Below are 26549 nucleotides of genomic sequence, written 5' to 3'. Positions count from 1 at the left end.
GAGTAGGCATGTGACTCTAAAAAGTGGTTTTTGAAGAGGATTATGATGGTTGGCTATGGACTTCATAGTTTGTAGACATAAAATAATTCTAACTTCTTTTTGAGGAAGAGTCATAAAAGTACAAAATCTCCTTTGCTATCTTCTCTTCTTTATGGTCTCTAAAAGTTGACATTTCTCAGGGCTCAGTCCTTAGCCTTCTGTATTTATTTTCCACACGATCTCATATGATCCCATGTTTTAAATGCCATCTGTTCTCCCAAATTTACAATTTCTTTACTTTGGTCTCTCCCATGAGTTCTAGACTTATTTTTATGTCTTTTCAACATCTCCATTTTGGAGTCTAATAAACATTTCAAACTTAGTATGTCTAAAATGTAAATCTTGAACTTTTCTCCCTGGGTAAGTGATATACCCAGTTGTTCCAGGCCAAAAACTCAAAGTCATGTGTGACTTTTTATTCCATATCCCACATCCAGTCCATTAGTAAGGCTTATATGCCTGCCTTTCAAAATGTATCCCAAATTACTCCTACCCCACTCCTCACCCTTACTGCCCTATTGTAAGTCACTGTCATAAGTCACCTAGGTGATAATATCGTCTTCTAACCGGCCTTCCTTATCTCCTCATTGTATCTCTCCAGTCAGTCCTCCATATAGGAGTAAAAGGTGTTTTTTTTTTTTTTTTTAATGTTAAACAGTTTCTGTCATTCCTCTGTTCAGAACCCTTCAGTGGCTACCCAGCACACACAGGATGAAACGTTGTCTCACATGTTCTAACAGGCCTGCTGACTTTATCTCCTGTCACTCACTGTCTTGCTCACTCTCCTCTAGCCACACATGCCTTCTTGCTATTCCTTAGATACTCCCAAGTCCATTTGTAATCAGCTAGCTTCTCCTGGTTCCGTGATCCCACACCCCTCACTCCAACCAGTTTAGCCTAGTACCAGTGGAGGTAGATTTAGAGAGAAGAAAAGTGCATATCCAAGACTCTCTAGCACATGTATCAGTAGAGTCACAATAAAAATATTACAGCTTTAGCATTCCTAGTTTTGGTAATTTGGATTGCTTTCAAGAATAAGAAGGACTGGATTTAGATCTACAGAAAGTCATAGCTAGAATCAATGGGGAAAAGTTACAGAGAGAGATTTCTCCTCAGTTTAAAGAGTGCTACAAAGAGACTTAGACTCCCACACAATAATAGTGGGAGACTTTAACACCCCACCGTCAATATTAGATCAATGAGACAGAAAATTAACAAGGATATCCAGGACTTGAACTCAGCTCTGGACCAAGAAGTCCAGATATGTCAAAGATCAGATGGTTGTAGATGCATGATGTTATTTCTGAGGCCTCTGTTCTGTTCCATTGGTCTATGTATCTGTTTTGGTACCAGTACCATACTGTTTTAGTTACTGTAGCCTTGTAGTATAGTTTGAAGTCAGGTAGCATGATGCCTCCAGCTTTGTTCTTTTTGCTTAGGATTGTCTTGGCTATGCAGGCTCTTTTTTGGTTCCATATGCAGTTTAAAGTAGTTCTATCCAGTTTTGTGAAGAAAGGCAGTGGTAGCTTGATGGGGATAGCATTGAATCTATAAATTACTTTGGGCAGTATGGCCATTTCCGTGATATTGGTTCTTCCTATCCATGAGCATGGAATGAAAACTGAAATTACTTTTTGTTCCGTAAGCTGCAGGATGGATATCATGTTAGCAGGCATGAAAACAACATTAATGTCCTTGTACATCTCCATTAGAGCTGTTGGGTGACTAGGTGCATTTTCATTGAGCAATAATATTTTGAAAGGAATCTTTTTCTCTGAACAGTGACTCTCAACAGTGGGCTTAAACTATTCAGCAAACCATAGTGTAAACAGACATGCTGTCATCCAGGCTTTGTTGTTCCATTTACAGAGTAGTGTAGATTTAGCATAATTATTCATGGCCCTAGCATAATTCTTAATGGCCTCAATGCAAATGAAACAGCCTTATATTCGAAGACGATATCATATAAGACTTTCATAGCTAGAGAGGGAGAGTCAATGCTTGGCTTCAAAGCTTCAAAGGAGAAGCTGACTCTCTTGCTAGGGGCTAATGCAGCTGGTGACTTGAAGCCAATGTTCATTTACCATTTTGAAAATAATACACACTAGAAATATGGATAAACTTCAAAAACATTATACTGAGTAAAATAAGCCAGATACAGAACACCACAACTGATTCCATTTACTGCTCTAGGTTAGTATATCAGAAGTGTGAGAAGAGATAAATTTACTGTATGGTGACAAACAGTGGACAAGTTGTTGCATGCAGCTAAGGGTGGGTTGTGACTGATCTGGAGGCAGTACAAGGGAACTTTTTGGGATAATGGTTGTGTTCTATATCTTGATTCTGGTGGTGATTATATGGAGATATAAATTTGTCCAAACCCACTGAAAAGTACACTTAAAATTTATATATTTTATTATATGTAAACTATTATCTCAGTAACAATGCTTAAAAAAACCCTGGTACACAAATTTTGAAAGTTGTTTTACTAGCAAAAGATTAACTTCTGTCTAATGTTAGAAGACCTTTGTGTAATGCTAAAACTTAGTCATCCTGAAAAATCCATTTAGATAAATCAGTGTATACAATATACATAAAGAATATATGAATTAAAAGTCCCTAAATAAGGAAAGAGAGTAGACGAATTCTCAATATACTGTCTAGTCTGTAGTTTGATGTATTGGAATCCTCGGAATGAATTGGTGTACATTTCCAGTTTCTTGAATCGATGTTTGGTAGTACCCTGGACACTAAGAAGCAGCCAGATAAAATGAAATAATTACAACTGGTTCTTGGTTCTGCTTTCGTGTTCTTAACTTCTTGAGTTGACTTTTATTTCATGTTTTTTAACTAGAAAAACTGGTTAGAAGACATACCAACATACCAATGTCCCTTAGAATCTTTTTTTTTTTTTCGGAGACGGAGTCTTGCTCTGTCACCCAGCCTGGAGTGTAGTGGCACGATCTCGGTGCACTGCAACCTCGGCCTCCCAAGTTCAAGCAATTCTCTGCCTCAGCCTTCTGAGTAGCTGGGACTACAGGTGCCCGCCACCATGCCCGGCTAGTTTTTGTATTTTTAGTAGAAATGGGGTTTCACCATATTAGCCAGGCTAGTCTCGAACTCCTGACCTTGCGATCCGCTAGCCTCGGCCTCCCAAAGTGTTGGTATTACAGACGTGAGCCACCGTGCCGGGCCCAGAATCTATTTCTTCCTTTAGGAATGGATCCCCTAGAGTTTAGCTAAGCACATGGCTCCCTATCTAGAAACTGTGCTTCTCTGCTTCTTTTACAGCAACATGTGGCTGTGTGACTAATGAGAGGTTAATGGTAATGTGTGTAAGATCACCTCTGTTAAGACAAGCCACTTACCCTAGACTTTCTTTTTTCCTTTTCTGCTGGCTGGGATGTTACACCAGTTACAGTAGCCATCTTAGTTGGAAACTACTTTGGAAACCACGTGGAAGATGGCAGGGCCAGCCTGGGTCCACAGATGATCTTGTGAAACACACCTTCCCCTGTCACCCCATATTTTGGCATGAAAAAGAAGAATTTCTTTCTCACTTGAGCTACTTTTGAGTCTCTTTGTTATGGCAGAAAGTTTATACGCTAATATAAAATGGAAAGCATTTCAGAGTTTTAAGTTTTTCTTTATACTGTTTGCTATATTGTCTATATATTGGTATGGTATTCTCAATTAAAGTAGTTTTTAAAATACATATGATTACATGCCAAGAGTTCCTTTTTGATTAATTATTTGAGAGAATGTTTTGCAAATTTCCAAGTTACTTTTAAGCTTTTGGTATTAATAATAGAATGATGTTAATATATGGCATTCTGCTTTTCTAGATTTTTATGGTTGTATTTCTGGACTAGCCTATGATCAGTTTTCGTAAAGTTACACAGACCTTTTTAAAGAAGTTTTCTTTATGAGATACCTAAATACCTATTATGTTGTTGAACTTTATTATTTTTTTGTCTGATCTCTCAAAGGCTTAAAGTTGTAAATCACTGATTTCTTCCGTCAATTTTAATTATTTGTAGTTCTATAAGTTTTTATTTTGGTGTATGTGTTAATGTGTTATGTGTTATTTACTGTCAGCATCTCAATTGAGGATTATACCTTTTATCAGAGTAATATGACTTCTTTTTTTTTTTTTTATTAAATAAAGGGTCTTGCTTTGTCACCAAGGCTGGAATGCAGAGGCACGATCATAGCTCATTGCACCTTCCAATCTCTAGGGCTCAAGTGGGCAATCCTCCTGGCTAGCTGGTACTATAAGTGTGCCACTACACCTGGCTAATTTTTCCTTTTAATTTTTTGTAGAGATAGGGCCTTGCTATATTGCCCAGACTGGTCTTGAACTTCTGGCCTCAAGCGATCCTTCTGGCCTAGCCTCCCAAAGTGCTGGGATTACAGGTGTGTGCCACTGCACCCAGCCATGACTTTCTAATTTATGACTTGTGTTTTGTTTTAGCTGACATTGATATTGCTACCTTAGTTTATATTTCTCCATAAATCTGTGCTTCCCGTTATATTTACACTTTCTTTGTCATTACTTTTAGATATGTTTCCTAAAAGTAGAACATACTTGGATTTTATTTTTTATCCTAAAAAGAACTTTGTCTCTTAACAAATATTTAATGCATTTAAATTTGTTTCCAAATTGTTCTGATTGGTTTTATTGATCTTTTCAGCTTTTTGTTTGAAATTCTTCCTTGTTTTCATTGTGTTTTGGATTTTTTGCTGTTTTGATTTAAAGTTTTATGTTTAATTTGGTTTTCATTTTTAACTTATTGTGCATCTAAGGCTTTGAAAACTAAGGATTATTTTAAATATTTTTTTAACTTTAAATTTATATGACACCTATCATTAACAGTTAAGAATAGGATGGTATCTCTTGATAAATGAGAAATTTAATATGTTTTTACTTATCTGCTTCTCTGTTTTCATTAATATGATCTAAGATTTTTAACTCAAGACTGTTACTAAATTATAATTTTAAATAATTTATGCACAATTTATTTTATTAACTTTTATATGGGCATAAAGAATATGAAAACCCTAAGTTGTCACAACCTTAATTTCTACTTTTTCAAGTATTTATCAAAAGGAATCTTAAACCATCAAAATTATATTCTGATATCCTATTACTTATTATTTTGATTTATTTTCATATTATATCTTTAAAAAATACTGTTTTCATTTTTTCTGTTGCCCACATTCGAACTATTTCTTTGCTCATTAGACTAGGAGAAAAGAAGTAGAAATAGTCAGATGTGAAATTAAGATACCAAATTATGTATTTGGTATTTTCTGTAGCAAAGTCTAAGGTCTGGAACATGTTTAGGATTATTGGATTAATGGATTTTATGGTGATGGGTTTTATGGGGAGAATTACCAGTTATTTAGTAGCTTGTAAGCTTGTGTCCTAAGATGTCCCTGTCAATTACTGCATCAGGTAACACAGGGCGTGGCACTTAGATTCTCATTGGTATTTGTTCAGTGACAGAAGCTGTCCTCTATTGCTTTCGAGTCTCTAAGACTGTTTTCCCCATCTTGAATGTGCCTAGTCATCTGACCTCCTCTCAAATGGGCACCAACTTCATTCTCTCTGTATAATAAGGGACCTTGTATGGGGCTTTCCTAGTTTTTTTCAGAACATGCTTGAGGACCATTTAGGGAAGCAGGGTCTTAGAGGACATTCAGTCTTGTCTTGGAAACAGTGGGGAAGGAAGAACTCTGTAGCAGTTGCTAGGGGTAATATTATATCTTTAAGAAAACAATGCTGTCACTAAGTTACTTTTAGACATGGAAGGCTTCTCTTTAATTTTTTTTTCTTTTTTAGTGGATGATTATGTAGCTAGACTACCAAGAGGTAGGGAGTGAAGTAAAGCTGAGAACAGCCTCTCCAGGATTATCAGGTTAGGGTGAAGTTCTTGGCAAGAGACTGGATTTAGTGTGGTATTCTGGAAAGCACATGGGCTGAGGAGGCAGGAGACCTTTATTCTAATTTTGGTTCTCTGTTCTTGTTTCTAACTGTGGCAAACCATTTAACTTTTGTGAGTCTCAGACTAGATTTATTAAATGAGGAATCTGACTCAAAGATCCTTTCTAACTTTAAAATTCTGTGTCTGACCAGAGGACCAGGGTAGAACAAGGAGGTTTCTACTCAATAGCATTTTTATTTTTAATTTCATTTTGTAAAGTCAAGAGGAATAAACCATTTATCTTACTGCTTTGAACAGGAGGATTAGAAGAAGGAATCATATATGGCTCACATGTTTATGTTCTGACTTCGTATTAGGTAAGTGACATGACGCATGTTGCAGTCGATTGTCCCTATTGTAACACATGGAAATAATCTGGTACTAGAGTGACTCAGAGGAATGTTTGTTGTTGTTGTTGCTTGTTCTGTTTTTGTTTTCTTGAAACGATTTTACTCCATCACCCAGGCTAGAGTGCAATAGCTTGATGATAGCTTACTGCAGCCTTGAACTCCCAGGCTAAAGCGATCCTCCCACCTCAGTCCCCTGAGTAGCTGGGACTACAGGCACGCATCACCAGCCTCGGCTAATTTTTTTATAGAGATGGGGTCTCCCTGTCTTAAACAGGCTGATCTCAAACTCTTGGTCTCAAGCAATCCTCCTGCCTTGGCCTCCCAAAATGTTGGGATTATAGGCCTGAGCACCTGCACCTAGCTGGGAATGTTAAATCACCATTTTTTCCTGGAGAAAACTTGACAGAACTATTTATCTAGATTCCCAGAAGGTTATCACCTTTTCCACTGGGATATGTGTGTGTCTCAAAATTGAGGGTACTGGGAGGTAGGCCTGTTGTGTGCTACCAATCAGCCATTAGGCTGCAGGTCACACTGAACATCTTTCATTGAACTCCTGAGTGGTGAAACGGCTGCTAGCACTAAAGTTGTGTTTCACAAGGGCAGTAACACGATGCTGCCCTAGCTGGCTATCTGTTGTAAGTTGAGCTGGGCATGGTCACACGCAGGGTGGGCAGAGAGAGTTTTCAAATAATGAACATGTCACAGTTGTGAAAGAGCTGGGAACGAGTGCTGACTGAATAAAATCTATGCAGCAAAGGGTGACTCTTTTTGAAGAAAGACTTTGTTCTGCCCGGATTCTGGAGGAAGAGCCACCGGAACAGCACAGAAAAGACTGGACAGTGGGCTTTGGTCGCTTTTCTTCTCTGTAGTCATCACATTGAGGACTAAAAATTAGTTGAAAAGTTTTATTTCCCTCTCTATCAAGAGCTTCCGGGGGTGGGAGAGAGTTGTTTCATTTCAGAAATGTGTTTTGTTTTAGTAAACACGTATCATGAATTGAATAAATGCAAATAAAATTCAAAATAAATTAGAAACTTGAATTTAAAAATATATGTGATAGGCTTTTAAGTGCCACTGTATGGTAGGCTCTGGTAGGGATGCAGAGATCAACATTCAGTAAAGTCTGCCCTCAGGAACTTGGGTGAGGCCAACATATAAATGGCTAATATTTATTATGTTTCATTCAGTTTTTGTGGAGCATCTACTCTATGCAAGGCAGCAGGACTTACAAAGTAAGGCAGAGAAGATTGAGTCTCTGTTCTCAAGGCATTTATAGTCCTGAGGGATATGAATAAATAGGTAACTAGAGTGCCAGGTACATGAGGGCATACAGGGGAGAATAATAGAATGTGTGGGATTGACTGTGTTCTGAGATTAGAGTGAGGCAGCCTCAAGGTGCCTATACTTTCAGATTTCTGCAGTCTTTAAGTCTTCTAGAACTACAGCGTTAACTACTGGAGGAAACATTATTGTATGTTTTTGTAGGTATAGCTGCTTTATATTAATGAGTCCATAGCTGAGCATCTGGAAGGAAAAAAAAATTGTTGATACATGTGCTTTCTGTATTCAGCTGATGATGAAGATGATGATGATGATGATGATGATTGAATTGCCCTCTACTAGCTACAAATTATATCTAGAATTTTAAATTTGAAATTAAAGGGAGACACCTTTTGATCAAACATTGTTCCCTATTAAGTTACAGTAAAAGTCTTTCTTGAACTTTAAATCTATTAAAAAGAGATTGCATGGCCTCCCATAATCATTGAATCCCATGGCTCTTTGAGGTAGGGATTTCCTATTCAGCCCAGTGTCCTCCTATTCAAGTATGAGGCTGCTTTCTCTCTGTCATCATTGAAGTCTTGGTCTTTTTGGACAACAGTAGAGGCCTGTAATATATTTTAAGCTGGATTTGTAAATTGAAGGGGCCCAGGCTGAGTCTGGCCCATGGTGCATGTGGCTTACCTCCATGCCTGAGCCACAAAAGGCCCACTATTTGCTGTTTTTAGGGAGTTAATAAGAGCTTTTGTGACATAGTTCATACACACTTTATTGGCTAAAATCTAGATGATCTGAAGGAAAAAGAATACGTTGCAAAAGTCAAAGTTATGGCTGTGAACTAGAAGAAAAGTTAAAAATATAAAAACTGTCACAAATGGTACAAACGAGAATTAGAAATTAGCAAGAGCACAGAAGCAGAGGTTTTTTAATTATAGCACTCCTTAAGACATTTTAAATTGTTATAATGATTTCAAATAGGTAAACTTTTGGTCTTAAAAGGAATCAAGGGGCCGGGCGTGGCGGCTCACGCTTGTAATCCCAGCACTTTGGGAGGCCGAGGCAGGTGGATCACGAGGTAAGGAGATTGAGACCATCCTGGCTAACAAGGTGAAACCCCGTATCTACTAAAAATACAAAAAATTAGCCAGGCGTGGTGGTGGGCACCTGTAGTCCCAGCTACTCGGGAGACTGAAGCAGGACAATGGCGTGAACCTGGGAGGCAGAGCTTGCAGTGAGCCAAGATTGTGCCACTGCACTCCAGCCTGGGTGACAGAGCAAGACTCCATCTCAGAAAAAAAAAAAAAGAATCAAGGGCTCTACTTTCTGTGTGTAGTTTATTAAATGTAAACACATACAAAATTTAAGGGGAAAAGGTAATCTTTTTATGTGAAACTGTTTTGATTTATGGCTTCCGAGACTTTGAAAGCCTCTTTGCACCTTGATTAAATACACCGAGTGGTTTTAAAACCTAATAAAATTGTTGGGGGGTGGCATAGGCAGATATTTTTAATATAGCAATTAGGAATATCATAAAGAAGATTAAAGCAGTTTGTAACATAAGCCTTGAATAGTATTACTAAATAAAGAAAATGAGGTTTTAGAAATTTGAACACGTTAACTATAAAAAAAGTAAACTTTTTTTCATGTAATACTGAAATCAACTATGGAATTGAAGAAACTATGATTTTTCTTTTTAAAATAAAATTATTTACAGAGGAAATTCATGAATACTTTGTTAAAAAACAAAAAGCATTTATGTCAGGCTAAAGTTCCATTTGACTACCACCCTTCTGTCTCCCCAGAGATCATCATTTTGCTATTTATTCTTCCAAATTGTCTTCTAAATATTTTTATGCATATATATGTATACATACCACAGATGGATATGTTTTTTGTTGATGTTTAAACACAGAATGTTGATTGCTGGTTCATTTTAAATATGGCCTTCCGTTGTTATGTTTTATTTTTAATACTTCTGCAGTATTACTAATAGCAGCTGACACTTACTGCGTAGTTACTATGAGCTAGGCGGGATGCTTAGCATTTTTCATATAATTTAGCCTCATCTTCATAATAACCTTCAGAAGTAAAATAGTTTATTTTATATGAATAAAATTCTACCTTTAGTATACCTTTCATTTACAGTAAATTACTAATGCCAGTAGTTTAGCATTCTTTAATAAGATTTCTACCAAAACATTTGGAATGATTTTTTAAAATTGCTAAGACTGTAACTGCCAGTTCTGTTACACTTTTTATTCTTGTGCAGTTGGCCTTTACCAAGTCCCCAGAGTCGGGTGTCTGCTTGCTAAACCAGAAAGCTGGAGATATGAGGATGATTCTTGCTCAACTTTTAGGAATGAAGTGGTAGTATGTGTCCTATTTGACTGATTTTAAATGAGGAACAGACAACCCCAGACATTTCCTCACTAGTTAATGGTTTGAAAAGCCTATGCCTGTGATGATGTCCATTTTGGGGACAGTTATAGGAGACAAGACTTAGATTGAAGGTGGTTCCCTTTTGAAAGAAGTCTTCCATTGTGCCCTTGGTCATACCAGTATGAAGACATAAAGACGCTGCAATAGGAACTCCAAGAATTTTTATGGGAATTGGTAGAAAGGGGTATTGGGTAGGTTGAGAGAAAAAAAGGTTGTGCTTATGTATATGCTGATTTTGGAGTTTGGATGAGGATATTTTCCACATTTCATGACAAAATAAAGAGCTGTTAGTGAATGGGATAGCTCTCAGAGAGTTTTAAGTCTGAGCTCTGCTGCTTAACTAGCTGTGTGACTTTGAACAGCTTCATGACACTGTTTTAATCAAATAATAATATTCACTTCATACAGCTGTAGGGTCGAAATTACATAAAGTACGTTAGACATTGCTAAGTGTTTTATAAATGTGCTAGTATTAGGTGGTGTTCTTACTGTTTTCATTAACATAACTGTTGTCAAAAGCTTCTACAGTTCACCTCTATACCAAAGACTTAACCTACTTGCTTCTATCCTTTATTACTTGAGAAAGGTTACTATATTAGGGTTCTGTTATTTTCAGAATAGTAAAAGAGGACCTATCACCTCTTTTAACATTTAACAAATATTGAAGGCCTAATATATGTGTGTGTGTGTATATGTGTGTGTGTGTGTGTGTGTGTGTGTGTGTGTGTGTGTATCAGCCAGCATTTCTTCTGGCTGAATGCTAGTAAAGAAAGGATCATTTATATTAATAGTAACTCTGGAGGAGAGAAGAAGGTCCCAGTAAATATCATTTGCCAAAGGTCTCAGTAAATATCATTTCATTGTCATCATTATTCTTCATAGGCTTTTTAAAATCTTTTTTGTCTTCAAGATTTAAAAAAGCATTAATTATTAATATCTGTCCATTTATGCAAGTATTTGTAAATAAATGAATTTGTAAATGGTTATGATGAGACACTGAAAAAAAAACAATAAAAACTTACCTTGCTTTGGTTTGGTTTTGGTTTTGGTTATGAAGTCACAAATAACATTCAATGGGAGTATGAGGTTTTTATGTTTAATAGGATGGAACATGGGTTAAAAATGTTAAGAAGTGCTCATTTCCAGAGTAAGCTCTCATTTTCAGCTGAGGAGACTGAGCTCCACTGAGCTTGCATTTGGTATACTTCGGGGTCCACATTCTAATGGGGAACTGATTATTGCTGGAAACCCAATCAAAAGTGTGGTTTATTCTGGGTTTGTTTAAAATTTTCCTTCCCACTGTTCTGTTTTCCTAATATAAGTATTATAGCAATTTAGAATTCATGGAAAGAATGAGCACCTTTAGCTTCTTACAGTGTCATGAGACTGCATATTTGTTATTCAGTGTTCAAGAAATTAACCATCAGTTGTTTAAGGCAACTAGGAAGTCTACAGTTTAATCTCATTTACTGTTATTTAGTGATATGCCATTTAGTATATGAAAACACTGTGGGTATAGGCTGTTGGTTGAAGCAGACTATGTGTGCTTTGGAGGGGGCACTTTGCCAAGGGAAAAAATCTTTTGATTTTTTTGTTCCCTCTTCTGGAGAGTTCTCAAAATCTATCCTTTTGACTTTTATTGGCAGTTGTCATTTTCATCGTCATCTCCATATTCTTTTATTTTTTTTGACTTACTCTGTGGCAAACCATCTCTAGCCTGAAGTTATACCAATGAAAAAAAAATCTTATTTCCAAGTGACCCATGAAATTCCATTCCATATTTTAAATGTGTCACATTGGAAATGCCACTTTTTTCTCCATTGTATTTTTGTTACCCTAACCCATGCCCTCACCATCTGAGGACTGTGTGTATTTTTACAGTTAATAGCTCTCATACTCACTGGTTTGTGGAAACTGAGCATTTCCCCTTTATCCAGAGGCAGTTGTGGTAAGTGTCTTGTTTTCTTCAGATCCCAACCACGGGTCTCTAAAGGTATCTAAGATCTGTATGGTCACATCTGCTTTTCCAAGTAACAGCTAGAAATATTTTACCATGCCTTCACTATAGCTAGGCTATAATAAAGTTTACAATCAGAGGCTGGGCACGGTGGCTCACGCCTGTAATCCCAGCACTTTGGGAGGGCTAGGTGGGCGGATAACCTGAGGTCGGGAGTTTGAGCTAGCCAGACCAACATGGAGAAACCCCATCTCTACTAAAAATACAAAATTAGCCAGGTGTGGTGGTGCATGTTTGTAATCCCAGCTTCTCAGGAGGCTGAGACAGGAGAATCGCTTGAACCCGGGAGGTGGAGGTTGTGGTGAGCCGAGATCACACCATTGCACTCCAGCCTGGGCAACAAGAGCGAAACTCCGTCTCAAAAAAAAAAAAAAAAAAAAAAAAAAGTTTACATTCAGTTAAATTCTCTAAGCTTCTGGCTTAGAATATTGAAGAAACTTTTACATAGAGTAGATAAAGGATGGAGTAGGAATTTCTGATTTGATTGTGTGTTATTGTGGAAAGAATGCTTTCCCTACAGACTGACTAGGAACAAGATGTTTAAACATAAGCCAGGGTGGAGACCTGTTTGGTCAGCTTTATAGGAGCCACGTTTCCCTACTTAGGATGAGTTTGCCAACTATCCCATCAACCTACCGCTGCCTGATCCTTCAAGTGTCTTTGGAATTTTTACTTAGGGCACTGTTGGGTAAGGCAGTGATATAGTACATATGTAGCAATTAGGCTAGAGGCTGTTTTGCGGAACAGCATGATTTTATCATGCCGTTATAAATTTATGCTGTGCTCTGTGTATATATATATAAAATGTCTTTTTTTCCCCTTTTTCTCCATCCCTCTCTGCTCCTGGCTTGTATATTCACATAACTGGGCAGCAGCAGGACTTCATTTATCACAGGCAGTGGGAGGGGGTACAGAGCTATGAAAGGGTTACTGTTCACATTTCCTGTGTAGTTCCTTCTGATCTTACTGAGTTGTAATTCCTTTCTTGATGTTAAACATTCCCAGGCTCCAGTAACCTTCTGGCCTGCTTGCACTGGCCAAGTGTGTCCCAGGTGATCTTGTAGGCGAACCTCCTGTTTTTAAGACAAGAAATCGCTCCTTCCTTCATGAGATAGGCTAAATATTCATTCCTTTGCAGTCCCAGAAGAAATCCTTTAATTTAAAACAACACCAGAGCAGTAACATATTAGTTTTAAAATTAAAATTTAGCAGCCATATTTGTTGTCAGGTTAATTTTGTAGATTTTTGAATCTATTCATTCGTAGTTTAGTGACTTTCTGGTTGAATGAAACCCTATTGCCATATTAAAGATTACATCTTTTCTTCTTAAAACACACTTTAAAAATGAGTTTTAATTCTAAAAGGATAAATTTTGGCCCTACCATCTTACTTTTAGCCTACTTATCAGTAGATCATTTTAAGTTGCCTCAGATGCAAAGCAGCTTAACTGTAACTACAATATTTCTGCTTTTCTTTACTAGTCAGCTGTTAGAAGTTTGTAGTTGAGCGTTGGGGAGATACTTATTTCCTTTTTCTCTGGTTTTAAAAGTATATACTGGCTCTTCTTTTCCCCACAATTTAAAGTATATAAATTTTTGTGGTTGGCAAAAAGGCTTTCTGTTTTTGCCTTTTCCTCTAAAGTTTTAGAAGAAAATATTACGCCATGGAGCATAAGAATGGGTCAGCAGCTAATTTACAGGGAAAAGGAGTACTTTTGCCAATGCTGCCTTAATCTCAGGTAAAGAGCTTTTGTTTGGACAAGGCTCCAAGGGTAAGTTTATTCTTACTGCTTATAGCACATCTCTTTGTCCTCAGTCATCAACTTGGGAACCTAGGGACTTGGGGACTGAAACGAAACAGTATCTCTTTGAAAGAGTTTCTAGGATAATTTTAAGTTTGCTAGTGTGTAGGCAAAGTAAACTGTCTGCATTGCTCTAAGCAATGAGATAAAATATTTTTAGTGTACCTTAACTGTCTGGAATACAGTTTTACAGGGGGGTGGGTAGATGAATTTTTGGATTAAATCTGTCTAAATCTGCTTTAAAGAGCCAACATGAATTGCTGATATTAATCATTTACCTTTAGTTCCCCAGTGCCTAATACAGAGCCTGTCACACAATAGGTTTCCTTTCTTTCTTTTTTTTTTTTTTTGAGATGGAGTCTTGCTCTGTTGCCCAGGCTGGAGTGCAGTGGCGCAATCTCAGCTCACTGCAAACTCCACTTCCCAGGTTCAAGCGATTCTGCTGCCTCAGCCTCCCGAGTAGCTGAGACTACAGGTGCGTGCCACCACACCTGGCTAATTTTTTGTATTTTTAGTGGAGACAGGGTTTCACCGTGTTAGCCAGGATGGTCTTGAGCCCCTGATCTCATGATCCACCCGCCTCGGCCTTCTAAAGTGCTGGGATTACAAGCATGAGCCACCACGCCCGGCCCCTTGATTCTTTTTAACAGCAAAAGTTTGCCTATTTAAAATCATTTTTTTCTTTTTTTTGAAACAGGAGCTCACTCTGTCACCCAGACTGTAGTACAGTGGCATGATCATAGCTCACTGTAGCCTCAAACTCCTGGGCTCAAGTGCTCCTCCCACCTCAGCCTCCTAAGTACCTGAGATTACAGGCAAATGCCACCAAGCCCTACTTATTTTTTCATTTTGTAGAGACAGGGTCTCGCTATATTGCTCAGGCTTGTCTAGAACTCCTGTTCTCAAGTGATCCTCCCACCTTGGCCTCCAAAGTGCTGGGTAATTTTAGGCAGTGGGTTTTCAATAATGGTTTGTTGAATGAATGAATGAGACTGCCAGATTACTTTTGTAGATTCTATTTTTTTTACAGTATTGCTAATAGTAAAGAGTGATGCATTTAGTACGTACATCTTTGTATTTTTAAAAATCATTTCAACTTTTATTTTAGATTCAGGGGTTACATGTGCCACAAGATTTGTTACATGAGTATATTGTGTGATGCTAAGGTTTGGGTTATGGATGATCCTGTCACCTAGGTACTGAGCATAGTACCCAATAGTTAACTTTTTCAACTCTTGCCTCCCTCCTCCCTCTCTCCTTCCTCTAGTAGTCCCCGGTGTCTATTGCTGCCATCTTTGTGTTCATGTGTACGTAATGTTTCACTCCCACTTATAAGTGAGGACATGCAGTACTTAATTTTCTGTTCCTAAGTTAATTCACTTAGGATAATGGCCTCCAGCTGCATCCATGTTGCTGCCAAGGACATGATTTTATTTTTTTATGGCTACATAGTATTCCATGATGTATATATACCACGTTTTCTTTGATGGACACCTTGGTTGATTCCATGTCTTTGCTATTGTACATAGTGCTGTCATGAACATAGGAGTTCATGTGTCTTGTTTGTAGAACGATTTATTTTCCTTTAGGAAATGGGATTGCTGGTTGGATGGTAGTTCTGTTTTTAAGTTCTTTGAGAACTCTCCAAACTGCTGTCCACAGTGGCTGAGCTAATTTACATTCCCACCAGCAGTGTATAAGAATTGCCTTTTCTCTGCAGCCTCACCAGCATATTATTTTTCGACTTTTTAATAATAGCTCTTCTCACTGGCATGAGATGGTATCTCATTTTGGTTTTGATTTGCATTTCTCCGATGATCAGTGATGTTAAACATTTTTTCATATGTTTGTTGGCTGTTTTTATGTATTCTTTTGAGAAGTGTTTGTTTATGTCCTTTGCCCACTTTTTAATGAGGTTATTTGCTTGTTGAATTGCTTAAGTTCCTTATGGATTCTGGATATTAGACCTTTGTTGGATGCATAGTTTTTGAATATTTTCTCCCATTCTGTAAGGTCTGTTTATGCTGTTGATAGTTCTTTTGCTGTGCAAAAGCTCTTTAGTTTAATTAGGCCTCACTTGTCAATTTTTTTGTTGCAATTGAGGTCTTAGCTACAAATTCCTTGCCAAGGCCAGTGTCCAGAATGGTATTTCCTAGGTTTTTTTCTCGGATTTTTATAGTTTGAGGTCATTGTTCCATATGCATATGACTGTGTGCATGTCTACATCCTTCCTGTTAATCTGTAATGGTAGGTCCTGTTCAGAGTCCTTTTGTCATTGAACAGTTAATTTCCTCACAACATTCTGTGCCCAAGTCCTTAGGTGATCTATACTTGGCTGACCTATCCGTGACACTGCTTGGTCATAGAAAAAAAGATTTCATTTAGTTATCGATTAAAGATAATCTGTTAACATTTCCTGAACACTTATATTTTCCCCCAGGAAAATACTAATGTCCGTCAGTCAACAAATACTTGCAGAATGCTAGTGTAAACAGCATTGTGCCTGGTATTGTGGACTCTCCAGAGATGTGCATCACCTTGTTCCTGCCATCTGAAGTGTCCTAGACTTCTCAACGAAGAGGATATGGACACTAATCAAGTTAAACAGCAACCTAAAGTATGTTAAATATAGTTATGAGCTAAGTGAGAGGCATGGACAAGAATCAGGTAGCTTTGAGGAAGGAGAAATCATTTTTACTTGAATTAGAGAGTGATCAAAGATTTAATGGAAGCTTGAATAGGGCATTAAACAAATAGTTGGGGTTTGAGTATAAAAGAGTAAGGCTATCTGACATTTATAAGTAAGGGTGACAGTTATCACACTTCCTGTGCCGAGCAGCAATGAAGAAACAACTAAAAAAGAGAATGCTTGAAGTGTGTGGTGGAAACTTTTCTTCATCAGTGACTTATTTGTTCCTTATTTTCTCCTAAAGTAGAATTTCAGAAAAGCTTCCACCTAGGACATGCAGCAGCTATTTCAGCTACTATAAGGATCACTTTAGTAGGAAATCCTCCCAGACTTTTCACCCAAGTAAAATTTCAGCAGGAAGACAGGAATAAGATACACTGAAAAGTTATTGTTCATGACTACAGTTTGATAATAAAAGCTTGATTCAATCTCATTGGCAAAAAAAATTTTTTTTTTTTTGAGATGGAGTCTCACTATGTCACCCAGGCTGGAGTGCAGTGCTGCAATCTGCAACCTCTGCTGCCCAGATTCAAGGGATTCTTCTGCCTCAGCCTCCCGATTAGCTGGGATTACAGGCGCCTGCCACCGTACCCGGCTAATTTTTGTAGTTTTTAGTAGAGACGGAGTTTCACCATCTTGGCCGGGCTGGTCTTAAACTCCTGAACTCCTGACCTTGTGATCCACTCGCCTTGGCCTCCCAAAGTGCTGGGATTACAGGCGTGAGCCACAGGGCCTGGCCTCATTGGCATATATACTAGTGCTCACTGCTGAGTTATATCTTGATTTGAATCCTAACATATAAGGAGATATTTCCAAGTTCACTATTTTTTTACACGTAGATAGGTGGCTATCGATATTTGTCACTATAGATAAATATCATAATTTGATAGGAGTTTCTATTAACCTCTTAAAGTTTCTTTTTTTTTTTTTTTTTTTTTGAGATGGAGTTTCACTCTTGTCGCCCAGGCTGGAGTGCAGTATCACGATCTCGGCTCACTTCAACTTCCACCTCCTGGGTTCAAGCAATTCTCCTGCCTCAGCCTCCTGAGTAGCTGGGATTACAGATGCCCGCCACCATGCCCAGCTAATTTTTGTATTTTTGGTAGAGACAGGGTTTCACTCTGTTGGCCAGGCTGGTCTCAAACTCCTGACTTCAGGTGATCTGCCCACCTTGGCCTCCCAAAGTGCTTACAGGTGTGAGCCACTGTGCCCGGCCAACCTCTTAAAGTTTCTTTCACAATAAAGCATGTACTAATATTACAAACTATTTTAGTCCTATTTTTTGTTTTGTAAAGGAGATTTTAAAATGAATATAATTTATATTGAGACCCTTTGATTATATTTACTTATTAAAAGCAAACCCATTAGTGCATTTTAGAGTCAAACATCTACTTGTATTATTTTATTATATAGCTAAAGGAAAAATAATGCCACACAGAAACGAAACCAGTTTTTCCAAAACAGTAAAGATGGAATCTTGAGACAGTCTGCTCACTTTAATTTTTATTTTATATTTTAGTCTTCTGGCCAGTAGCAAATTGATGTGACCTTGTGCATGTTTCTCTGAATATCCACAGTTGTTCAGCTGTATGAATTGCTGCCAGTGTGACAATGAGCCGGAAGCTATATCCAACTTGCTTCTCACACTGTATTTTTGTAAAGACCTAGATTCTTTCAAGATATTACTAAGTGATCCGTGATTAAAGGTTTTGGTGGTTTGCTAATTTTAGGAAAAGTGGGAGCAATCACAATGTATATTACGTAGTGTATATTGGTATTTTATTTAACCCAGTGTTTCCCAAATGTATTTGAACTTGGGAACACCCACCCCCTGTCTTTCTTCCTTCCAAATTCCTTCCTTTCTTACTTTATTTTTAAAGAACACTTACTAAAATCTCTTATAGAACAAGTTTCAGGAATGTGCACTATGAAACTTTCATACACACATGCACGTTATTTAGATGTGTTGCTTATGTCTTTTTCTATTAATCTCCAACTTTTCTGGGGCATAGGTTGGGAGGAAGAAGGAAAGTGAGTAACTTACAAGTTTTACTAGTTATTCTGATGTCAAGTTTAGTGGGAAAGAGGCTGAAGCTTATATCTAAAATAAGGTTTGAGATTGATCTGAGTATTTTAAGAGTTCTTACTATCTGTATCTTCTATAGTTTGTTGCTCTGTACAAGCAGGAGTTGACAGAGCATAACAGAAGTTACCTTTATGGGAAAGAGTAAGGTGGGTTGGAGGTGAAATAAGACTTTTCGCTTTTGTAACCTTAAGAAGAAAAAGCAAATTAAAAGACCTAAACTGATGGAGAGAACCAGTACTTTACAACAGAATTTCTTATTTCAAGCTTTTGTAAGTACTAGCCTCTCTGGTAGTTTTAAACGCATTTTGTTTAGAAAGTACCAAAATTTGTAAAACTTTTTTTTTTTTTTTTTCTTTTGGGATGGAGTCTCACTCTGTCACCCAGGCTGGAGAGCAGTGGTGCAATCTCGGCCCACTGCAACCTCCACCTCCCGGGTTCAAGCGATTCTGCTGCCTCAGCCTCCTGAGTAGCTAGGATCACAGGCGCACGCCACCACACCCGGCCAATCTCTTGTATTTTTAATAGAGACGGGGTTTCACCATGTTGGCCAGGCTGGTCTCGAACTCCTGATCTCAAGTGATTCACTCACCTTGGCTTCCCAAAGTGCTTGGATTACAGGCGTGAGCCACTGTGCCCAGCCCTATTCTTGTCTTCTAATACAGGCAGGTTAGAAGGGATTCTATCAAATTTAAAATTTAGCACTTTTTGTTTAAAAAAAATAAAATGCGATTATACAATCAAAGAACATTAAAGCTGGTAGAAGTTTCACAAATCATTTGTTTCAGGCCAGGCACAGTTGTGCACACCTGTAGTCCCAGCTACTCAGGAGGCTGGGGCGGAAGGATCGCCTGAGCCCAGGAGTTCATGGCTATAGTGCGCTATGATCATGCCTGTGAATAGCCGCTGTTCTCCAGCCTGGGCAACATAGCGAGACCTCATTTCTAATAATTTTTTAAAAAGGTATAATAAATTAAAAAATTTTTTTTTTTAATTTTTTTTTTTTATTTATTATACTCTAAGTTTTAGGGTACATGTGCGCATTGTGCAGGTTAGTTACATATGTATACATATGTAAAAAAAACTTTTTTTTTTTTTAAGAAACAGGCTTATATAAAGTAAGATAAATCTGGTAAGATAAGATTAATATCTTTTGTTCTTTATCTTGTACATACCTGTTATTAATATACTATGCCATCATTGTCTATTTAAGTGCTAAGTGAGTAAGTATATATTATTTTTCTCTGTATCTTTGGCACCTAACCTTGCACTGTGCCTGGTACATAGTAGGCATTCAGTAAATGTTTGTTGATGTGAGTGTCGGGGGTGGGAAAACTTAATTTTACAGTCAATCCTAGGGGAATACGTTAATGGTTGAAATCTTAAAAGGATTATGTTATTTTGAAAACGTCTTTAAAATATAGCCTATTTTATTTTTATATTTATATCTATCTTGTCTAAGAAAGGATTTAAGGTGGTATTACTAAGTACACTTAGTACAGTGGGATCAAATAAAATTTAAAATAAATGAGTAAAAGAACAAAATTGGAGGATTTATACATCCCCATTTCAAAACTCAATCTAAGGTGACAGTATTCAGGACAACGTGGCCGTGGCATAGGATAAGCATATAAATCAATGGAGAGGAATTGAGAGTCCAGAAATAAACATTTACATTTTTGGTCCATTGATTTTTGGAAGAGCTGCTAAGACAAATAGAGAAAGGGTTATTTTTTCAACAAATGGTGCTGGAAAAATTGGATATCATATACAAAAATTAACTTCCTCACAATAACAATACACAAAAATTAGCTGACAATGAATTAGGGGCCTAAATGTAAGAGCTAAAATTATAAAACTTCTAAAAGAAAGCATAGAAGAAACTTTATGACCTTGGATTAGGCAGAGTTGTTAGGTATGACACCAGAAGCATGAGCCATAAGATAAAAAATTGATGAATTTGACTTAATTAAAATTAACATTTTTATGCTACAAAAGACATTGGGAAGAAACTGAAAAGATAGGCTGCAGACTGGGAGAAAATATTTGCAAATCATGTGTGATAAAGGACTTGTATCCAAAACATGTAAAGAATTATAAGTAAATAATAAGGCAAACAACCCAACTTAACAGTGAGCAAAAGAACAGAATAGACACTTCATCTGAAAAGACATGAGAGTGATTAATAGCCACATGTAAGCACAGTGAGCATCATTAGTCATTAGGAAGATACACATTAAAAACACAATGAGATACCACAATGAGATTACATCCCCTAGGATGGCTGTAATAAAAAAGACAGTATATAGTGTCTAGGATGTGGAGAAACAGGAACTCTCATATTATACATTGTTGGTAGGAATGTAAATTGTTATAACCACTTTGGAAAATAGTTTGGCTATTTCTTTTAAAGTTAAACCAACTTACCATATGTAGTAAGGTTCTCCAGAGAGACAGAATGAATCAGGTATGTGTGTGTGTGTGAAGAAATTTATTTATTGAGACGGAGTCTGGCTCTGTCACCCAGGCTGGAGTGCAGTGGTGCGATCTCGGCTCATTACAAGCTCCGCCTCCCGGGTTCACGCCATTCTCCTGCCTCAGCCTCCTGAGTAGCTGGGACTACAGGCACCTGCCAACACGCCCGGCTAATTTTTTTTTTTTTTTTGTATTTTTAGTAGAGACGGGGTTTCACCGTGTTAGCCAGGATGGTCTCAATCTCCTGACCTCGTGATCCGCCCACCTCGGCCTTCCAAAGTGCTGGGATTACAGGTGTGAGCCACCGCGCCCGGCCAAAATTTATTTTAAGGAATTAATTGGCTCAGAAAGAGTTGCAGTTTGAGTCTAAAGGCAGTCAGCTGGAAAACCAGAAGAGCCAATGTTGCAGATGAAGTCTGAAGGGAGTCTGCTGGGGACTTCCCTTTTGCCCAGGGAGGTCATCCTTTTGTTCTATTCAGGCCATCAACTCATTAGATGAAGCTCCCCCATATAATGGAGAACCATCTGCTCTACTCAAAGTCTAACAGTCTAAATGCAGATCTTGTCCAAAATTACTCTTGCAGAAATGTCGAGAATAATGTTTGACCAAATATCTGAGTGCTGTGGTCCAGCCAAACTGATACATAATTTTTAATCATTGTGCCATATAAACTCAGCAATTCCACTTCTTGGAATCTGCCCAAGAGAAATGAAAACATATGTTCACACAAAGACTTGTATGTAATTGCTCTTGGCAACATTATTTGTAATAGATATTAATAAAAACAAGAAAAAATGCAATGTCCATAACCTGGTAAATGGATAAACAAAATGAGGCATATCTATACATTGGAATACTATTCAGCAATGAAAAAGGAAGAAAATATTGATATATGCTGCAGCATGGATGAAACTAAAAAATATAGTGTTGAGTGAAAGGAACTAGACTCAATAGACTACATATTATATGATTTCACTTATGAAATTTCTAGAAAAGGGAAACTGATTGAGTTAGCAAGGAGATTAGAGGGGAACTAGGGGTTGGAGCAGGAATTGACTGCATATGAACTCAAGGGAATTGGGAGAGATAATGGAAAACTGGATTGTAGTGATGATTGCATCCATTTAGTACATTCTGGTCCTCTATAAATGGACTAAAACGTCATTGAACTGTCCCCTGTTCAATGGACAATGATTAATTTTATGGCATATAAATTGCACTTCAATCCATATCAAAATTATAAAAGTAGTACAAATGGAGTAAGGATGGGACACACATTATATCTTATAAAAGCTCCTATATTTTGCTTGAGGTGGATCATGGATTTTGCTCTAAGCTCTCTAAGAAGACATCTCTCAATATGAAATTTCTTTTCTGTTGTTCACAAGATCAAAATTTATCAATATTTTAGGAGAAGCCTAATAATTATATTCAAAGGAAAATGTATTCTTTTTGTTATAGTGCAGTGTAATCAAGTCTGTCCTTAAATAACATCCTCATAGTAAATAACTGAAGACTCTCTTCTGAAGACCTGTTTCTTGAGCCCCCTTTCTATACAGTCTGGTAGCCTAACATCAAAGGCACATTGATAAATACAGCCCTGTTGAGTGAATAGGGAGGAGATCAGCAAAAGTACAAGGCCAGGAATGCTATTCTTTGGTCGTATGACTCAGTCCCAAAAATGGAACTACAAAAGACCTCGAGTAGCCAAAGCAACATTGGGAAAAAGAACAAAGCTGGAGGCATCACACTACCTGACTTCAAATTATACTACAAAGCATTTCCAAACCTCAAGAAAAATATAAATATCCAGGCACAGGAAGGTCAAAGGTCATACAGCCTACCAAGACCAAATCATAATGGAATAGAACACCTGAGTACAGCAATAATGAGTCACAAAATTGAATCAGTAATAAGAATTAGTCCATCAAAGAACAGCCCAAACCCTGATGCTTTTCCTGTTGAACATTTAAAATAGTAATAATGTCAATTCTCCTCAAAATATCCCAAAGAATATTAACCAATAGTAACCAAAACAGCATGGTACACACATAAAAACAGACACATAGGACAGTGGTACAGAATAGAGAACCCAGAAATCCATGTATTTACAGCCAGCTGATTGATGAACATGCTAAGAGCACACATTGGGGAAAGGACATCCTCTGAAATAAATGGGGCTAGGAAAACTGGACATCCATGTGCAGAAACTAGATACCTGTTTCTTACCAACATCAACTCAAAATGGATTAAAGACAGACTATGAAACTATTAGAATACACAGGAGAAACACTTCATGACATTGGTCTAGATAAGGTTTGTATGGGTAAGACTTCAAAAGCACAGACAAGGAAAGAAAAAATAAACAAATGGGATTACATCAAACTTAAAGCTCTATACAGCAAAGGAAACAACAGAGTGAAGAGACAATCTGTAGAATGGGAGAAAATATTAGCTAACTACACATCTGACAAGGGGTTAACATCCAGAATGTGTAAGGAATCTGAACAACTCAATAGCAAAAAGCAAGCAAACAATCTGAATGCTAAAGTGGGAAAAGATCTGAATAGATATTTCTCAAAAGAAGACATGCAAATGGCAACAGACATATGAAAAAATGTTCAACATCACTACATCAGGGAAACGCAAATCAAAACAGTAATGAGATTATCATCTTACCCCAGTTAGAATGGCTATTACCAAAAAGACAATAACAAGTCCTGGCAAGGATGTGGAGAAAAGGGAACTGTTAATTTACACTGTTGGTGGGAATGTAAATTAGTACAGCCATAATAAAAAACAGCATGGAAGTTCTTTAAAATATTAATAACAGAACTACCATATGATCTAACAGTTTCACTGTACGGCTTATATATCCAAAATAAGTGAAATCAGTATGTTGTTGAAGAGATACCTGCCCTCCTATGTTTATTGCAGCACTAGTTACAATAGCCAAGATATGGAATCAACCTAAGTGTTTATTAGTGTATGAATGGATAAATAAAATATGTCATATATACACAATGGAATACTATTCAGCCATAGAAAAGAATGAAATTCTATCATTTGCAGTGAACATGGATGAACCCAGAGGTCATTATATTAAGTGAAATAAGCCAGGCATCTCATTTATATGTGGAATCTAAAAACGTTTATCTCATAGAAGTAGAAAGTAGAATAGTGGTTACCACTGGGTGGGGAAGAGATAGGAGAGATGAAGAGAGGTTGGTCAACAAGTGCAAACCTACAGTCACATAGGAGGAATAAGTTCTGGTGTTCTATGGTACAGTAGGGTGACTTTAGTTAATAATAACATATTTCAAAATACAAGAGAAGCTTTGAATGTTCTCATTAAAAAATGACAAGTATCAGAATACCACACTGTATTCCATAAATATATACAATTATTATGTGTCAAAAATAAAATAAAACTTTAAAAAGATGTCAGTTTGGTCACACACATATTTACGTAAACATAGTTTATCATTTCACTAACAGTCTCTCTTTTATATTTCATCACTTATCTCACATTGGTATTTTTTATGTTGTGTTTGAAAATCACTGCTGTAGAGTACCATAAAGGGTCTTAATTTTCTATTTGTAATCCCACTCTTGCTTCAATCATGAGAAAGTGACTGAATAACTGTGTTAAATGAACTGAAGGAGAGCCTGAGCATGAATCCTTTGGCTTGATTATCTATGTACAATAGTTTATTTAGTAAGACGAAAATGGTTATAATTGCAGTGATTTAGTTGGAGTATATTGTGTTTGAAAAATTGTTTGTTTTAGAATATCTTAGAGAAAATTGGCCTCTCAGAAATAATTTTACCTTATAATGAACTTTGCAAATTGCTTCTGCAAAATCACTAGGTTCAGGTTTCTGCTTTCAGTTAGGTTGTAGAAGGTGGTAATGGGACATTGTGGCTTCTGGAACAACTAAAAAAAATAATAATAAGTTACAAAAATCAACGTTGTAATAATATGTTACTACCTAATAAAATGCCCCAATATTCAGTGGTGTGAAACAGCAAGTCTCATTTAGCTCATCGTTCTATGGGTTGAAAATTCAGGCAGGTCCCAGCTTGGTGATTTTTGGTTGCATGTTTCGTTGACTGAGATCACTGGGTGGTATTCTGCTGGTGGATGGAATTCTCTGGAGGATTCAAGATACATATATACAGGGTGCCTGGGCAGAGGTGGAAGGCTAAGTCTACATGACCTTTCTAGCATGGTAGTCTTAGCATAGTCAGACTTATTATTGTGGCTTCCGGCTTCTAGAGAGAATTTTCGTGGAGATAGAAAGTGGACGCTGCCAGCGTCTTAAAGCCTAAAACTGAAAAATGGTACCATATCACTTCCACTATATTCTGTTGGTCAAAGGAGTCACAGAGTTCTTCCAGTTTTAGTGAGAGAAGACATAGGCATGACCTTCCAGTGGAAGAAGTATCAAAACATTTGTGGCCATCTTTAATCCACCACAGTCCACTATCTGGTCACAAATGATTCAGTCTCTTCCTATGTTCCTTATTTACTCACCCACCTCCAAGAATCCCAAAATTATTTTCCAACTCTTCTTTACCCTGAGTCTTAAAGTTCAAGAACTTGTTATTTACAACAAGTACACTGTTCAGGAATCTTCTCAGGTGTAGCTGAAGAGACAACTACCCAACAATATAATGAAGAGGCAGTCATAGAATAGCTGCAGTAAACATTCCCATTCACAAATAGGGAAACAGGAAACATACAGCTTTACTGGTCCATAGAAATTTTGATATACTGATGTTAGTTCTTTTATTAGGCTATTCTTGCCTCCTGATAATGATTCTCCCTGGCTCGAGGTTTTGCTCTCTCAATTTAGAGTCATCCTTTTTCTGTAAGAAATGGTCATTTTTTGCAACTGAGTAGCCTTTTCAGCCTTTCTGCCTGTAGAAATTTGAGAGTCCAAAAGCCTGTTTTCATTTTGCACTATCTCTGTCCCTTTCAGTGCAAGCTGATATAATGTTTTTTAAAACTTTGTGGGCTTCCTGTGTATCAAATTGTAGCCCGCTCCATTAATCAGAGGCCCACCCACATTTATTTTAGAGAGGCATTTTTTTTCTTTCATACTGAGTCAAGGTATTTTGAAACAACACCCATAATATTCCTATGAGCTTTTCTGTCTATTTAAGAGTCCAAAGTGCACATCATCAAGATTCTTAGAGGCCTTTTGCCTTAGAACAGAATCTAAGTGTCATACTCTTAAGATTCTTAGAACTGAACTAGATACGATTTTAGTCTTTCAGTCTCAACAAGGTGTTTTACAGCCATGCTGTAGAGATTTTTATCCTGAAACCACGCTTTACTGGTAGTAGGCCCCAAGCCTTAATAGTAATTCTGTAAC

General features: G+C 37.3%; 1 protein-coding gene across 54 annotated transcripts in view, besides 2 other annotated features; it reads left to right on the top strand.

The window, feature by feature from the left end:
* ZNF438 (zinc finger protein 438) overlaps nucleotides 1-26549 on the top strand; it is a 187780-nt gene that overhangs the window by 51472 nt on the left and 109759 nt on the right. For 8 of the 54 annotated variants that reach the window (XM_047424746.1, XM_047424738.1, XM_047424740.1 and 5 more), the window contains exon 3: nucleotides 6288-6346. The exons of 42 other annotated variants lie outside the window; for them this stretch is intronic. The gene's annotated coding sequence lies outside the window, so the exon portion shown is untranslated. Of the gene's footprint in view, nucleotides 1-3457; nucleotides 6347-16360; nucleotides 16538-17550; nucleotides 26514-26549 lie in introns of all 54 variants that reach the window. 4 more of the 54 variants (XM_047424749.1, XM_047424742.1, XM_047424745.1 and 1 more) reach the window with 3 other exon arrangements.
* Nucleotides 21343-21572: an enhancer, noted in NCBI's record as "active region_3231". NCBI's record gives its function as "activates an Ori minimal core promoter by ATAC-STARR-seq in GM12878 lymphoblastoid cells {active_cell/tissue: GM12878}" and the evidence as "EXISTENCE:reporter gene assay evidence [ECO:0000049][PMID:35858748]".
* Nucleotides 21693-21742: an enhancer, noted in NCBI's record as "active region_3230". NCBI's record gives its function as "activates an Ori minimal core promoter by ATAC-STARR-seq in GM12878 lymphoblastoid cells {active_cell/tissue: GM12878}" and the evidence as "EXISTENCE:reporter gene assay evidence [ECO:0000049][PMID:35858748]".

Source organism: Homo sapiens, chromosome 10 (genome assembly GCF_000001405.40).
Source record: "Homo sapiens chromosome 10, GRCh38.p14 Primary Assembly".
Lineage (NCBI taxonomy): Eukaryota > Metazoa > Chordata > Mammalia > Primates > Hominidae > Homo > Homo sapiens.
Note: the sequence above shows the minus strand (reverse complement) of the source record. Positions and strands in the feature narration are given on the sequence as shown.